This window comes from Homo sapiens, chromosome 12 (genome assembly GCF_000001405.40).
Source record: "Homo sapiens chromosome 12, GRCh38.p14 Primary Assembly".
Lineage (NCBI taxonomy): Eukaryota > Metazoa > Chordata > Mammalia > Primates > Hominidae > Homo > Homo sapiens.
The window spans coordinates 132,968,473-132,983,978 of record NC_000012.12 but is presented as its reverse complement, the minus strand read 5'-3'; the positions used below and the strand labels follow the sequence as shown (position 1 = coordinate 132,983,978).

The 15,506-nt window shown below is 41.1% G+C and overlaps 1 long non-coding RNA gene and 1 pseudogene across 1 annotated transcript in view, besides 1 other annotated feature; one reads left to right on the top strand and one right to left on the bottom strand.

Annotated features, from left to right (window-relative positions):
• Positions 1 to 268: 268 nt before the first annotated feature.
• Positions 269 to 15,506, bottom strand: part of LOC124903064 (uncharacterized) — a 27,162-nt gene continuing 11,924 nt past the window's right edge. Inside the window, exon 2 of the long non-coding RNA XR_007063552.1 lies at positions 269 to 1,003. This is a non-coding gene — a long non-coding RNA (uncharacterized LOC124903064). The remainder of the gene's footprint in view (positions 1,004 to 15,506) is intronic.
• Positions 6,808 to 7,058: a silencer, noted in NCBI's record as "fragment chr12:133553507-133553757 (GRCh37/hg19 assembly coordinates)". NCBI's record gives its function as "represses an EF-1alpha promoter that drives an FKBP-Casp9 reporter gene in an ReSE screen in HepG2 liver carcinoma cells {active_cell/tissue: HepG2}" and the evidence as "EXISTENCE:reporter gene assay evidence [ECO:0000049][PMID:32094911]".
• NANOGNBP2 (NANOGNB pseudogene 2) lies at positions 11,089 to 11,641 on the top strand (annotated as a pseudogene).

The window sequence follows — 15,506 nt, the reverse complement described above, 5'->3', positions numbered from 1 at the left end:
TTAAAGAAGAAAGGATAATTCTTTACAAATTCTTTCAGAAAATAGATGAGAGGGAATACTTCCCAACTTATTCTATGAAGCCAGTATTATTCTCATACCAGAGCTAGACAAAGACATCACGAGGGAAAAACAAAACAGAGCTACACACCAATATTCCTATGGTGTGTAGTACCATAGACATAGACACAAAAATTCTTAAGGCTTGAGAAAACTCTTTTTCTCCTGAAACTGGTTTTGCAGGTGGTTACTCATGTGAAAACTTACCAAATTGTTTAAATACATGCAGTTTATTCTATATCACTTTATAACTTAATAAAGCTGTTTAAGAAAAATGTTAGTAAGCTGAATCTGGCAACATACAAAAAGGATTTTGTAAAATGACCAAATGGAATATATACCAAGAATGAAAGATTGGTTCAACACTGAAAATCAGTATAATAAAAAACAAAAACTATGTGACTATTTCAATAGATGCAGCAAAAGGCATTTAGCAAAACCAACGTCTATTCATGGCAAAAACTCTCAACAATCTAGGAATAAAAGGGAATTTCCTCAACTTGATAATGGGCATTTTTTAAAAACCCTAGCTAACATCCTACAGAATGGTGAAAGACTGAGTGTTTTTCCCCTATAATAGGAAACAAGCAAGGGTGTCTGCTTTCAACACTTCTGTTCAAAGTTGCACTGGATGTTCTAGCCGGTTCTGTTCCACGTTGCACTGGATGTTCTAGCCAGTTCTGTTCCACGTTGCACTGGATGTTCTAGCCGGTTCTGATCCACGTTGCACTGGATGTTCTAGCCGGTTCTGATCCACGTTGCACTGGATGTTCTAGTCGGTTCTGTTCCACGTTGTACTGGATGTTCTAGCCGGTTCTGTTCCACGTTGAACTGGATGTTCTAGTTGGTTCTGTTCAACATTGTACTGGATGTTCTGGCTAATACTGTTCAACGTTGCACTGGATGTTCTAGTTGGTTCTGTTCAATGTTGTACTGGATGTTCTAGCTGGTGCAATCAAGCAAAAGAAAAGAAAGAAAAGGAAGCATCCAGATTGGAAAAAAAAGTAAAATTGGCTTTATTCACAGATGACATAATCCTCTATATAAAAAATTTCTAGGAATCAATAATAATAATAAAACCACTGAAACTAATAAATGATGTTAGCATGGTCAAAGGGTACAAGATCAATATATAAACACTATACTTCTATATACTAGCAGTGAATAATCTTAAAATGAAGTTAAGTAAACAATTTCTTTCACAGCATCAAAAAGAATAAAATAGTAATACATTTAATAAAAGAAGTAAAAATGTGGCCGGGCACGGTGGCTCATGCCTGTAATCCCAGCACTATGGGAGGCTGAGGCTGGTGGATCACGATGTCAGGAGATCGAGACCATCCTGGCTAACATGGTGAAACCCCGTCACTACTAAAAATACAAAAATTAGCCAGGCATGGTGGCAGGCGACTGTAGTCCCAGCTACTCGGGAGGCTGAGGCAGGAGAATCGCTTGAACCCAGGAGGCGGAGGTTGCAGTGAGCCGAGATTGTGCCACTGCACTCCAGCCTGGCAACAGAGCGTGACTCCGTCTCAAAAAAAATAATAAAATAAAAAATAAAAAAGGAAGTACAAACTTGTATGTTGGAAACTACAAAACATTACTCAGAGATATTAACAAATATTTAAATAAACAAAGACATTTCATATTAGTGGATTGAAAGGCTGAATACTATCAATATGGCAATTCTCCTCACATTGATCTATGAATTAAATGCAATTCCTGTCAAAATCCCACCAGACTTTTTGGTAAAAATTGGCAAGCTGAACATAAAATTTATAATGACATGCAAAGAACATAGAATAGCAAAACAATTTTGAAAAAGAATAAAGTTGTAAGACTTACACTACTTGATTTTAAATTTGCTATAAAGCCACAGTGATCAAGACAGTGTGATATTAGCAAGAGGATAAGTAAATAGATCAATGGAAAATAACTAAGGATCTAGAAATACATTGTAACATTTATGGCCAATTAATTTTTGACATAGTTACCCAGATAATTCAATGATGAAAGGTAGACTTTAGTAAATGATTCTGGGTAAATGGATGCCTATATGCCAAAGGAGGAGAAGGAGAAGACTTGCCTTACACGTCATACATGAAAATTAGCTGAAAACGGGTCAGAGACCTAAAAGTAAGAGCTAAAACTATAATACAATAGAAAATTGTTGTAAATTTGGGTTGGGTAAAGAGATTCCAGATATAACAACAAAAGCATGATCCATGAAATAAAAGCATTGATAAATTGAACTTTGTCAATATATAAAAACTTTTGTTTCAAAAGACAGTATGAAGAAAGTGAGAAGACAAGCCACAGTCTAAAAGAAAATATTTGCAAATCATTTATCTGATAAAAGACTTGTATTCAGAACACTTATGACTCAATAATAAGACAAGCAACCCAATTTTGCAAATGAGCAAAAGATCTGAATATATATATATTTTTTTCACCAAAGAAGCTACAGAAATGGCTAATAAGCACATACAAAGATGCTCAACGTCATTATTCATTAGGGAACAGCAAAGTTAACCACAATGAGATACCAGTAAAAATTCAATAGAATGGCTATAATAAGAAAAACAGACAATACCTAGTGTAGGCAAGTATGTGGAGAAACGAGCCTTCATGCTTTGCTAGTGAGATGTAAAAATAGCAGTCACTTTGGAGAACAGTTTGACCATTACTTAAAAAGTTAACCATAAACTTACCGCATGACTCTGCAATGCTACTTCTAGATAGCTAAGAGAAAATGAAAACTTATGTCTGTATAAAGTCGTTTATGATAATGTTTATAGCAATATTATTATTATTATTATTATTATTATTATTATTTTGAGACGGAGTCTCACTCTGGCCCAGGCTGGAGTGCAGTGGCACGATCTCGGCTCACTGCAAGCTCCGCCTCCCGGGTTCACGCCATTCTCCTGCCTCAGCCTCCTGAGTAGCTGGGACTACAGGTGCCCGCCACCATGCCTAGCTAATTTTTTGTATTTTTAGTAGAGACGGGGTTTCACCGTGTTAGCCAGGATGGTCTCGATCTCCTGATCTCGTGATCCGCCCACCTCGGCCTCCCAAAGTGCTGGGATTACAGGCGTGAGCCACCGCACCCGACCAGCAATATTATTTATAATAGCCAGAAACTGGAAACAACCCAAAATGTCTATCAACTGCTGACTGGATAAAGAAAAGTGAAAGCAACTCAAATGTCCATCAAATGATGCCTGGATAAACAAACGTGGTATAGCCATAACGATGGAATACTGTTCAGCAATTAGAAGAGGGGGGAAGTGCTGATACATGCGATGTGAATAAACCTCAAAAACATGATGCTGATGTCAAGAAGCTAGACAGAAAAGTCATCGCATGTATGATTTTGTGGATATAAAATGTCTAGAAAATGCAAATTTGTAGAGTGAAAAATCACATCAGTAGTTGCCTAAGGATAGGAGTAGGAACAGGGGTTAAATGTAAATGGGCATAAAGAACTTTGGTAATGAAGATGTTCTAAGGCTGCATTGTGGTCATGGTAGTAAAACTCTATGAATTTACTAGTATCACTGAATTGAATACTTACAATCGACACATTTTGTGGCATGTGAATTGTATTTCAATAAAACTTAATTAAGGCCACTGAGTTTGACTATTGGAAATGAGAGAGATAAAAGCAGAAATAAATGAGGTCGAAAGCAGAACAACAGCAGAACTAATAAATAAAAACATTTGTTTTTGAAGAACGTTAACAAAATAGAAAACTCGGTGTTCTAATCCAGCAAAAAGAGAAAAAGTACAAATATACAAAATAAGACATACAAAGAGGAAATAACTACTGAAACAAAAGATAGATGTTTTTTAAATCATAAAAGACGTTTTTGCCCAACTCTAGGCAAAAACATTTTGAAGACCTAGATGAAATGATTAAATTCTTAGGAAAATTGAATTTTCCAAGATTTACCTCAGAAGACTCAACAGCCTACTTTTCATCAAATAAACTTGTGAAGAACCACCCCACAAAAAAGTAACAGATTTTGATGGTTTCATAGGAAAATGCTGCCAAACTTCAAAGACCAGATAATCCCAATGCTCATAAATTATTCCAGAATAAATAATACTTCTGGCCGGGCGTGATGGCTCACACCTGTAATCCCAGTACTTTCAGAGGCCGAGGCAGACGGATCACGACGTCAGGAGATCAAGACCATCCTGGCTAACATGGTGAAACCCCGTCTCTACTAAAAATACAAAAATTAGCCGGGCGTGGTGGTGGGCACCTGTAATCCCAGCTACTCAGGAGGCTGAGGCAGGAGAATCACTTGAACCCAGGAGTCGGAAGTTGCAGTGAGCCGAGATCGCGCCACTGCACTCCAGCCTGGCAACAGAATGAGACTCCGTTTCAAAAAAGAACAAACAAACAAACAAAAAAACTTCCGAATTTCTGGAGCAATTATAACAATACTATGTTAACCTAAAAAAGTATCACAGAAAATGAAAACAAAAATTGATTTCACTTGTCAACAGTGATGCAAATATCTTAAGTCATAAACAGAGTGAGGTATTGAAGTCTTCAATTATTACTCTAGAATATTGCTCTCATGAATTCTGTCAGTTTTTGCTTTATATATTTTTATGGTCTGTTATTAGATATATAAGTATTATAATGTCCTATGTTGAATATTTTATTAATCTACAAGGTTATTCTTTGTCTTGTGATCTGTTTTGGTTTAAAGGCTATTTTGTCTGATGCAACCATCACTGCTTTCTTTGGGATATTTACATGGAATATCTTTTTCAATCCTTTCACTTTCTACTATTTGTGTTTTTGGATGTAAAGTCAGTCTCTTATAACAGCATATAGTGGAATTATGTATTTTTATTCAATCTTCAAATGTAAGTCTTTTGATTGAAAAGTTTATCATTTACATGTAAATTAACTACTAATGAGGAAGTTTTTTTTTTGAGATGGAGTTTCGCTCTGTCACCCAGGCTGGAGTGCAGTGGCGCAATCTCAGCTCACTGCAACCTCCGCCTCCCGGGTTCAAGTGATTCTACTGCCTCAGCCTCCCGAGTAGCTGGGACTACAGATGCGTGCCACCACGCCCAGCTAATGTTTGCATTTTTAACAGAGACGAGGGTTTCACCATATTGGTCAGGCTGGTCTCGAACTCCTGACCTCAGGTGATCCACCTGTCTCAGCCTCCCAAAATGCTGGGATTACAGGTGTGAGCCACCGTGCCTGGCCGGAAGATATTATTTCTGTCATTTTGCTTTGTTTTTGAAGTGGCTTATAAGCGTTTTTATCTCTAATTTCCTGCATTGCTGTCTTCTTTTGTGTTTATTTATCTATTTTTTTTGAGAGGGAGTTTTGCTCTTGTTGCTCAAGCTGGAATGCAATGGCACAATCTCGACTCACTGCAACCTCTGCCTCCCGGGTTCAAGCAACTCTCCTGCCTCAGCCTCCTGAGTAGCTGGGATTACAGGCGCACACCACCATGCCCGGCTAATTTTTTGTATTGTTAGTAGAAACAGGGTTTCACCATGTTAGCCAGGCTGGTCTCAAACTCCTGACCTCAGGTGATCCACCCACCTTGGTCTCCCAAAGTGCTGGGATTACAGGGGTGAGCCACTGCGCCCGACCTAGTTGATTTTTTATAGTGGAATGTTTAAATTCCTTTCTGATGTTCTTTTGTGTCTGTTCTATAGCTATTTTTTGTGGTTGCCATGAGGAGTACATTTAACATCGGAAACGATAACGCTCTAATTTGAATTTTTACCAGTTTAACTTTAATAACAGGTGAGAACTCTGCTCCTTTAAAGCTCTGCTCCCACCCCTTTGATTTGCTGATGTCACAAAATTACATCCTTATACATTGCATGCCCCAAAACATACATTAATCCTTCTTTTAAATGCATTAATCTCTTAAATTATGTTTAAAAAAAAAGAAAATGTGGAGTTATAAACCAGAGTTACAATAATGCTATCGTTTGGTCTAATGATTATTTTATGGTCTACTCAAATTTTTTTTTCTTTTGAGACAGTGTCTCACTCTGTCACCCAGGCTGGAGTGCAGTAGCACAAACATGGCTCACCGCAGCCTCAAACTCCTGGGTTCTCCCAAGTCAGCCTCCCAAGTAGCTGAGACTATAGGCATGTGCCACCATGCCTGTAGGGTCTAGCCCTACAGGGTCTGTGGGATTTTCTCCCCATGTGCGGAGACGAGAGATCATAGAAATAAAGACACAAGACAAAGAGATAGAAGAAAAGACAGCAGGGCCCGGGGGGCCACTACCGCCAAGACGCGGAGACCGGTAGTGGCCCCGAATGCCTGGCTGTGCTGTTATTTATTGGATACAAGACAAGGGGGCAGGGTAAGGAGCGTGAGCCATCTCCAATGATAGCTAAGGTCATGTGGGTCACGTGTCCACTGGACAGGGCACCTTTCCCTGTTTGGCAGCCGAGGCGGAGAAAGAGACAGCTTACGCCATTACTTCTGCATTTCAAAGACTTTTAGTACTTTCACTAATTCTGCTACTGCTATCTAGAAGGCAGATCCAGGTGTACAGGGTGGAACATGAAAGTGGACCAGGAGCGTGACCGCAGAAGCACAGCATCACAGGGAGACGGTCAGGCCTCCGGATGACTGCGGGCGGGCTTGACTGATGTCAGGACCTCCACAAGAGGTGGTGGAGCAGAGTCTTCTCTACCTCCCCCGGAGAAAGGGAGATTCCCTTTCCCGGTCTGCTAAGTAACCGGTGCCTTTTCTAAGCACTGACGCTACCGCTAGACCATGGTCCGCTTGGCAACGGGCGTCTTCCCAGGCGCTGGCTTCACCGCTAGACCCAGGAGCCCTCTGGTGGCCCTGTCCGGGCATAACAGGAGGCTCGCACTTGTCTTCTGGTCACTTCTCACTGTGTCCCCTCGGCTCCTATCTCTGTATGGCCTGGTTTTTCCTAGGTTATGATTGTAGAGCAAGGATTATTATAATATTGGAATAAAAAGTAATTGCTACAAACTGTGATTAATGATATTCATATATAATCATATCTATGATCTATATCTAGTATAACTATTCTTATTTTATATATTTTCTTTATTATACTGGAACAGGTCGTGCCCTTGGTCTCTTGCCTCAGCACCTGGGTGGCTTGCCGCCCACACATGCCCGGCTAATTTTTTGTATTTTTTGTAGAGACGGGGTTTCACCATGTTGCCCAGACTGGTCTCCAACTCCTGGACTCAAGCAATCCACCCGCCTTTGCCTCCCAAAGTGGAGATTACAAGTGTGAGCCACCATGCCCGGCCAAATTTTCTATTCTACATGACTCAGTCTTGTTAAGTTATATGTTTCCAGGAATTTATTCATTTTTTTCTGGGTTATTTACATTTTTTTGCTGTACATTTTCTTGTAGTATTCTCTCATGATCCTTTGTATGTCTGTGGTATCAGTTATAATGTCTCCTCTTTCATTTCTGATTTTGAGTCATTTCTCCTTTTTTCTTAGTCTAGCTAAAGGATTGTCAATTTTATTTATCTTTTCAAAAACCAACTCTTAGTTTTGTTGATCTTTCTATCATTTTTATAGTTCTATTTCATTTATTTCTGCTCTGATGTTTGCTATGTCCTTACTTCTACTAACATTGGGTTTAATTTGTTCTTTTCCTAGTTTCTGGAGGTGTAATGCTAGCTTGTTTATAATCTTTTTTAGCATAGGCATTTAGCACTATAATGATCCCTCTTAGAACTGCTTTTGCTGCATTCCATAAGTTTTCATATGCTGTGTTTCCATTTTTTCAAGTCTTAAGATAATTCTAAATTTCCCTTTTGATTTCTTCCCATTGGTTGACCCATTGGTTGTTCAGGAGTATGTTGTTTAATTTCCACATATTCGTGGTTTCTATTTGCATAGAACATTTTATTCTATTCCTTCACTTTCAGCCTATGTGTATCCTTAAAACTGAAGTATGTCTCTTATAGGTAGCGTATGGTTGGGACTTGTTTGGGTTTTTTTCTAATCCACTTAGCTACTGTCTGTCTTTTGACTAGATAATTTAATTCATTTATATTCAAGGTAATTATTGATGGGTAAGGACTTACTATGGTCATTATGTTAATTGTTTTTCTGACTGTTTTATAGATCCCTTTGTCCTTTCCTCCTCCCTTGCTGTTTTCCTTTGTGATTTGATCATTTTCTCTAGGTGATATGCTTTGGTTCATTTCTCTTCATTTTTCATGTATCTACCATAGGTTTTTGTGTTGTAGTTACAATGAGGCTCACGTATAACATAGTTATAATAGTCTATTTTAAGCTTATAACAACTTAACTTTGCATATAAAAACCACATCTTTACTCCTCCTCTATTTTATGTTTATGATATTACAATTTACATCTTTTTATATTGTGTATCTACTAACAAATGGTTGTAGCTATAGTTATTTTTAGTAGTTTTGTTGGCTGGGCACAATGGCTCACACCTGTAATCCCAGCACTTTGGGAGGCCGAGGTGTGTAGATCGCCTGAGGTCAGGAGTTTGAGACCAGCCTGGCCAACATAGGGAAACACCGTCTCTACTAAAAATACAAAAAATCAGCTGGGCGTGGTCGTGGGCACCTGTAATCCCAGCTACTCGGGAGGCTGAGGCAGGAGAATTGCTTGAACCCGAGAGACAAAGGTTGCAGTGAGCTGAGATCGTGCCACTGCACTCCAGCCTGGGCAACAAGAGCAAAACTCCCTCTCAAAAAAAAATTAATTTGTCTTTTAATCTTTATACTAGAAATATAAGTGATTTACAGATCACCATTATAGCATTAGAGTATTCTGAATATGACTGTATGCTTTTACTAGTTTTATACTTTCATATGTTTTCATGTTACTAATTAGCAACTTCACTTCAGCTTAAAGAACACCCTTTAGCATTTCTAGTAAAGCAGGCCTAGTGGCGATGTACTCCCTCAGCTTTTGTTTGGGAAAATCTTTCTCTCTCTTTCATTTCTGAAAGACAGCTTTAGGGATAAAGTATTCTTGATTAGCAGTGTATTTTTCTTTCAGCCCTTGGAAAATATCATCCCACTCCCTCCTAGCCTGCAAAGTTTCTGCTGAGAAATCCACTGATAATCCTTCGTGATTTTCTCTTGCTACTTTCAAGATAGTCTTTGCCTTTAATTTTTTTTTAAGCAGGGACTGCTCTGTCACCCAGATGGAAGTGCAGTGGCAAGATCCTGAATCGCTGCACCTCAACATCCTGGGGTCAAGTGATCCTCACCTCAACATCCTGGGGTCAAGTGATCCTATCACCTCAGCCTCCCAATTAGCTGGCACTACAAGCACATGCCATCACTTCTGGCTAATTTTTATGTGTGGAGACATGGTCTCACTATGTTCCTCAGGGTGGCTTCCAACTCCTGGGCTCAAGTGATCCTTCTGCCTCAGCCTTCCAAAGTGCTGAGAATACAAGTATGAGCCACCACGCCTGGCCTGTCTTTGATTTTTGATGGTTTGATTATAATATGTCTTGGTGATATTTTCTACCTGATTAGAGACTTTTGAGCTTCATGCACATAAATGTTCATATCTATCCCCAGACTTGGGACATTTTCAGCCATTAGCTGCAAACCTTGTGGGGCATTGTTGGATTCCCCTCTTTTTGTGGCTTCTTATCATCTTCCCGATTGCTCCAAAACCTGTCCTAGCTTATCACCCTAGATGTTCAAAAGATATTTGGTTTGTAAAGTGTCTTTATTTATTCTCCCATCTAGTTTCCTCTCCAGGTTGGCTACCCTGTTTCTTCATTTACTGTGCTATCACCCATAGTGTTTCTTGTTGACATGCTTTAGGTTTTGAATTTGTGAGTATGAATTCTTTCTAGTTTCTGTGATATTTTTCACTGTTTCTTCTTCCATTTGAACTTTCGTTTCATGAAATTAGAAAAACTCTATGAAATTTTCAGTAGGTTTTTTAAAGACAGGGTCCCACTCTCTCACCAAGGCTGGAGTGCAGTGGTGTGACCATAGCTCACTGCAGCCATAAACTCTTGGACTCAAGCAGTCCTCCCACCTCAGACTTCTGAGCAGCTGGGATGACAGGCAATGCCCCACCAGGCCTGGCTAATTTTTAAAAATTTTTTGTAGAGGCAGAGTCTGGCTAAGTTGCCCAGGCTGGTCTTGAAGTCCTCAGTTCAAGCAATCCTCCCACCTTCACCTCCCAAAGTGCTGGGATTACAGGCATGAGCGCCGTGCCTGGCCTTGAGTAGAATTATATTGAATAGACAAGTTAACTTGACATTATTTACTCTTCCCATTAAAGTACATCAGAAGTTTCTGTTATTGTATATACATATGCCTCCTCCTGACTTCTTCTTATTAAAATTTGGAGTCTTTACCCATTGCTTCAACTTCTACTCCCATTTTATTCCGAGAATCTAGCTTTTGCTCCCTGTATCCTACCAACAACATTCTTCACATATTCTACCAACAACATTCTCCTGAAAGACACCTTTGACTTTGAGGCAAATTTTAGAACCTCCACTTTTTCAGAGGTTGACATCTTCTCTTATAGCTTTTCATAATTGGCTTATTATTCACCCTCCTGCCTTTTGAATTGGGTCTTCTCTTTGTCTTCCACTGTCCTGTTTTACTTATTTAAGTTTTCTCTAAATTCTTTGATATCTTTGGTCTTGTTTCTGTATAGACATTCTTCATTCAGCAAAGTTATTTATTATTTCCATATTACTTACAATTTGTTAGGTTTTATAGCTGTGATGTTGCTATTTACCAGGTTTATAGGGATGAATAAAGTAGATTCTCAAGATTATGGTTTACAGAGAGCACTAGGGGAAAGAGAAGCAAGAAAGAAAGCTTTGAAAGAGCAGCCATTGACTTTGAAGGAAATCCGGGAAAGGATGGCATCCAGGAAGTGGGAGAAGAAATGTTTTCAAGGTGGAGAGAGCTCCTGATACTTCAAGACTTTTCTGAGGTAAAACATGCGGTGCTGAGAATTTTTTTTATTTCTAAAAATCAAACAGAGACTCTAAGAGAGAAGACTCAGAGCCAAACAATCATGGATGTAAGTCAGCAAAGGCTGGAAGGTAGTGATAACTTCACAGAATTGAAAAGTTGGGATCCTGTTATACAGAAACAACCGGCTATGCCTTGGGATCAAAATTCAGAACAATCAAATGGAAATTACAGTGAAGATGAATAAAAGGGAAAGCAGAAATGGAGAGGAGGAGGAGAAGCAGGCAGAAAGAGAGAAGGAGAAAAACAAGAGGAAACATTAAAGGAGCTGGAAGATGAACAGGAAAAAGAAAGCAAAAAAGAAAATGAAAAACAAAATATCCCAAGAAAAGACTAGTCAGCAAATCCCTCATGGAAACTCTTTGGGCAAAGTTTAAATTAAGCAGATGCCCCACAATACAAGAGAGTCTATTACTCTCATTTGAATTTGGCATGACACATAAACAGATATGTCAATGGTTTTGTAAAAAGGGGACGAAATATAATACAGAAATGTCCAAGGGAAAGCATAATAAAAAACATAAGAGATGAGGGTCTTGCTGAGTTGCCAAGGCTGTTCTTGAACTCCTGCCCTCAAGCGATCTTCCTACCTTGCTCTCCAGAAGTGTTGTGATTACAAGCATGAGCCACCCATACCTGGCTAAGATGTTTTATATGACACCATTCTCACAAATAAATGGAGTTCGGAAAGGATAAACAAGAAAATATTAACAATCGTTAATTTTGTGGAGTAGAACTAAATGAGGGCAGTGCAAAGTGGTTCCTGGACATTCTATTTTTACCCTACTGTGGATTTAACATTTTTATAATGGACAATAATTGATTTTATTTAAGAAAAAAATCAATAAGGAAAGTATCAACCTCTGGGGGGAAAAAAGATTATGGTTTAAATCTTTGACAGACAACTAGACTGGAAATTACTACCAAAAAAAAAAAAAACGTGTTTCAGTGGAAAGCTATGTGTTGGTCACATACTGTACAACCTTCCTCAAAGTTATCTGATTCCAGACATATTTCATTATCTTTTAGCTATTTTTTAAAAAACTCGTTGGGCCGGGCGCGGTGCCTCACGCCTGTAATCCCAGCACTTTGGGAGGCCGAGGCGGGTGGATCACGAGGTCAAGAGATCGAGACTATCCTGGCTAACATGGTGAAACCCCGTGTCTACTAAAAATACAAAAAATTAGCCAGGCGTGGTAGCGGGCGCCTGTAGTCCCAGCTACTCGGGAGGCTGAGGCAGGAGGATGGCGTGAACCCGGGAGGCGGAGCTTGCAGTGAGCCGAGATCACGCCACTGCATTCCAGCCTGGGCGACAGAGCAAGACTCTGTCTCAAAAATAATAATAATTTTAAAAAAGTAAAAACTCTTTGTGGGTTGTAGGGTATCTTAGTCCATTTGTGCTTCTATAACAAAATACCTGAGGCTGGGTAATTCATAAAGAACAGAAACTTATTTATCATAGTTCTGAGGGCTAGAAGATCTAGATCAAGGCACCAGCAGGTTTGGTGTCTGCTAAGAGCCCAGTGTCTGCCTCCAAGACGGCATCTTGTAACCACACCCTCCAGAGGGGAGGAAAGCTGTGTCCTCACAGGGCCAAAGGGATGGAAGGGGCAAAAAGGGCCAAACTCCCTCCATTAAGCCTTTTATTTTATTTTATTTTATTTTATTTTATTTTATTTTTTGAGACAGAGTCTTACTCTGTCCCCCAGGCTGGAGTGCAGTGGCGCGATCTTGGCTCACTGCAACCTCCGCCTCCCCGGTTCAAGCAATTCTCTGCCTCAGCCCCCCAAGTAGCTGGGATTGCAGGCGCCCACCACCACGCCCAGCTAATTCTTGTATTTTTAGTAGAGATGGGGTTTCACCATCTTGGCTAGGCTGGTCTTGAACTCCTAACCTCGTGATCCACCCGCCTTGGCCTCCCAAAGTGCTGGGATTACAGTCGTGAACCACCGCGCCCGGCCCCATTAACCCTTTAATAATGGCATTAATCCATTTATGAGGGCAGAACACTCATGACCTAACACCTCTGCCAAGGCCCCACCTCCCAACAGTGTTGCATTGGGGATTAAATTTCCAAGTTTGGGGGACATATTCAGACCATAGTATAGGAAAAGACAGGCATGCAGAACTCTTGTTTGGTAGAGTTTGTCTCCCTCCTGGGGAAAATGTATTTTTTTCTTAATTTGAAATTCTTTTTTTTTTCACAGTCTCACTCTGTCACCCTAGGCTGGAGTGCAGTGGCTGCAATCTCTGCTCACTGCAACCTCTGCCTCTCAGGTTCAAGCAATTCTTGTGCCTCAACCTCCCAAGTAGCTGGAATTATAGGAACCTGCCACCACGCCTGGCTAGTTTTTGTATTGTTAGTAGAGACAGGGTTTCGCCATGTTGGCCAGGCTGGTCTTGAACTCCTGACCTCAAGTGATCTGCCCGTCTCAGCCTCCCAAAGTGCTGGGATAAGAGACGTGAGCCACCGCCCCCAGCCTATGTAGCCATTTGATGTAAACTGTTTGAGCTTATACCTGGCTTGGAACCACTGTTGTCTGTAAGTGATATAACTGCACTGCTGACTCTGTAGGGGAGAGAATAAAGCCATGTCCCAACCACCTTCGGTCCCTTCAGTGTTCTTTCTGCTGCCCACCACCCATCCACCAACTCCACTCAGACTCCAGCTCAGGTTGGAACCTAACAGAATCCCAAAGCTGAAGAACTTGGAGTCCAGTGTTCGAGGGCAGGAATCATCCAGCGTGGGAGAAAGACATAGGCTGAGAGGCTAAGCCAGTCTAGTCTTTTCATGTTCTTCTGCCTGCTTTTTTTTTTTTTTTTTTGAGACGGAGTCTCACTCTGTCGCCCAGGCTGGAGTGCAGTGGCACGATTTCAGCTCACTGCAACCTCTGCCTCCTGGGTTCAAGCAATTCTCTGCCTCAGCCTCCCGAGTAGCTGGGATTACAGGTGCCTGCCACCACGCCCAGCTAATTTTTGTGTATTTTTAGTACAGACGGGATTATATCATCTTGGCCAGGCTGGTCTTGAACTCCTGACCTCGTGATCCACCCGCCTCGGCCTCCCAAAGTGCTGGGATTACAGGCGTAAGCCACTGCACCTGGCCCTCTGCCTGCTTTTTATTCTGGCTGCACTGGTAGGTGATTAGATGGTGCCCTCCCAGATTAAGGGTGCGTCTGCTTTTCCAAGTCCACTGACTCAAATGTTAATGTCCTTTGGCAACACCCTCACAGACACACCCAGGATCAATACTTAGCATCCTTCAATCCAATCAAGTTGACACTCAGTGTTGACCATCACATAGTGGAAGAGCAGCCCCCATTTTCTTTATGTTAGTCACTTTATCAACATCATTCCTTTTTTTTTTTTGAGATGAAGTCTCGCTTTTGTCCCCCAGGTTGGAGTGCAATGGCGTGATCTCGGCTCACTGCAGCCTCCGCCTCCTGGATTCAAGCAATTCTCCTGCCTCAGCCTCCTGAGTAGCTGGGATTACAGGTGTCCGCCACCATGCCCAGCTAATTTTTGTATTTTTAGTAGAGACAGGGTTTCACCATGTTGGCCAGGCTGGTCTCTATCTCCTGACCTCAGGTGGTCAGCCCGCCTTGGCCTCCCTAAGTGCTGGGATTACAGGCGTGAGCCACTACGCCCAGCCCATCATTCCTTATTCTTAAAACAACTCTATGAGGATCTTTTTATTATGCTCTGATATAGTTTGAATATATGAAACTAGATATAGTTTGAATGTATGTTCCCACCCAAATCTCATGTTGAAATGTAATCCCCAGTGTTGGAGGTGGAGCCTGGTGAGAGGTGTTTGGGTCATGAGGATAGATCTCTCGTGGTTCGGTGTAATCCAATAATGAGTGAGTTCTCACAAGACATGGTTGTTTCTTTTTTTCTTTTTTTTTTTTTTTTGAGACAGTCTCACTCTGTCGCCCAGGCTGGAGTGCAGTGGCGCAATCTTGGCTCACGGCAAGCTCCACCTCCCGGGTTCACACCATTCTCCTGCCTCAGCCTCCCGAGTAGCTGGGACTACAGGTGTCCACCACTGTGCCCGGCTAATTTTTTGTATTTTTAGTAGAGACAGGGTTTCACTGTGTTAGCCAGGATGGTCTTGATCTCCTGACCTCGTGATCCGCCCACCTCAGCCTCCCAAAGTGCTGGGATTACAGGTGTGAGCCACCTCGCCTGGCCAAGATCTGGTTGTTTAAAAGTGTGGTGCCTCCTCCATTTTTCTGCCATTTCTGCCGCATGAGATGCCTGCTCCACTCCATGTTCCACAATGACTGGAAGCTTCCAAAGCCTTCCCCAGAAGCAAATGCCAGGACTGTTTCCTGTACAGCCTGCAGAGCTGTAAGCCAAATAAACCTATTTTCTTATAATTACCCAGTCTCAGGTATTTCTTTATAGCAATGCAAGAATGGACTGACACCTGCTCATT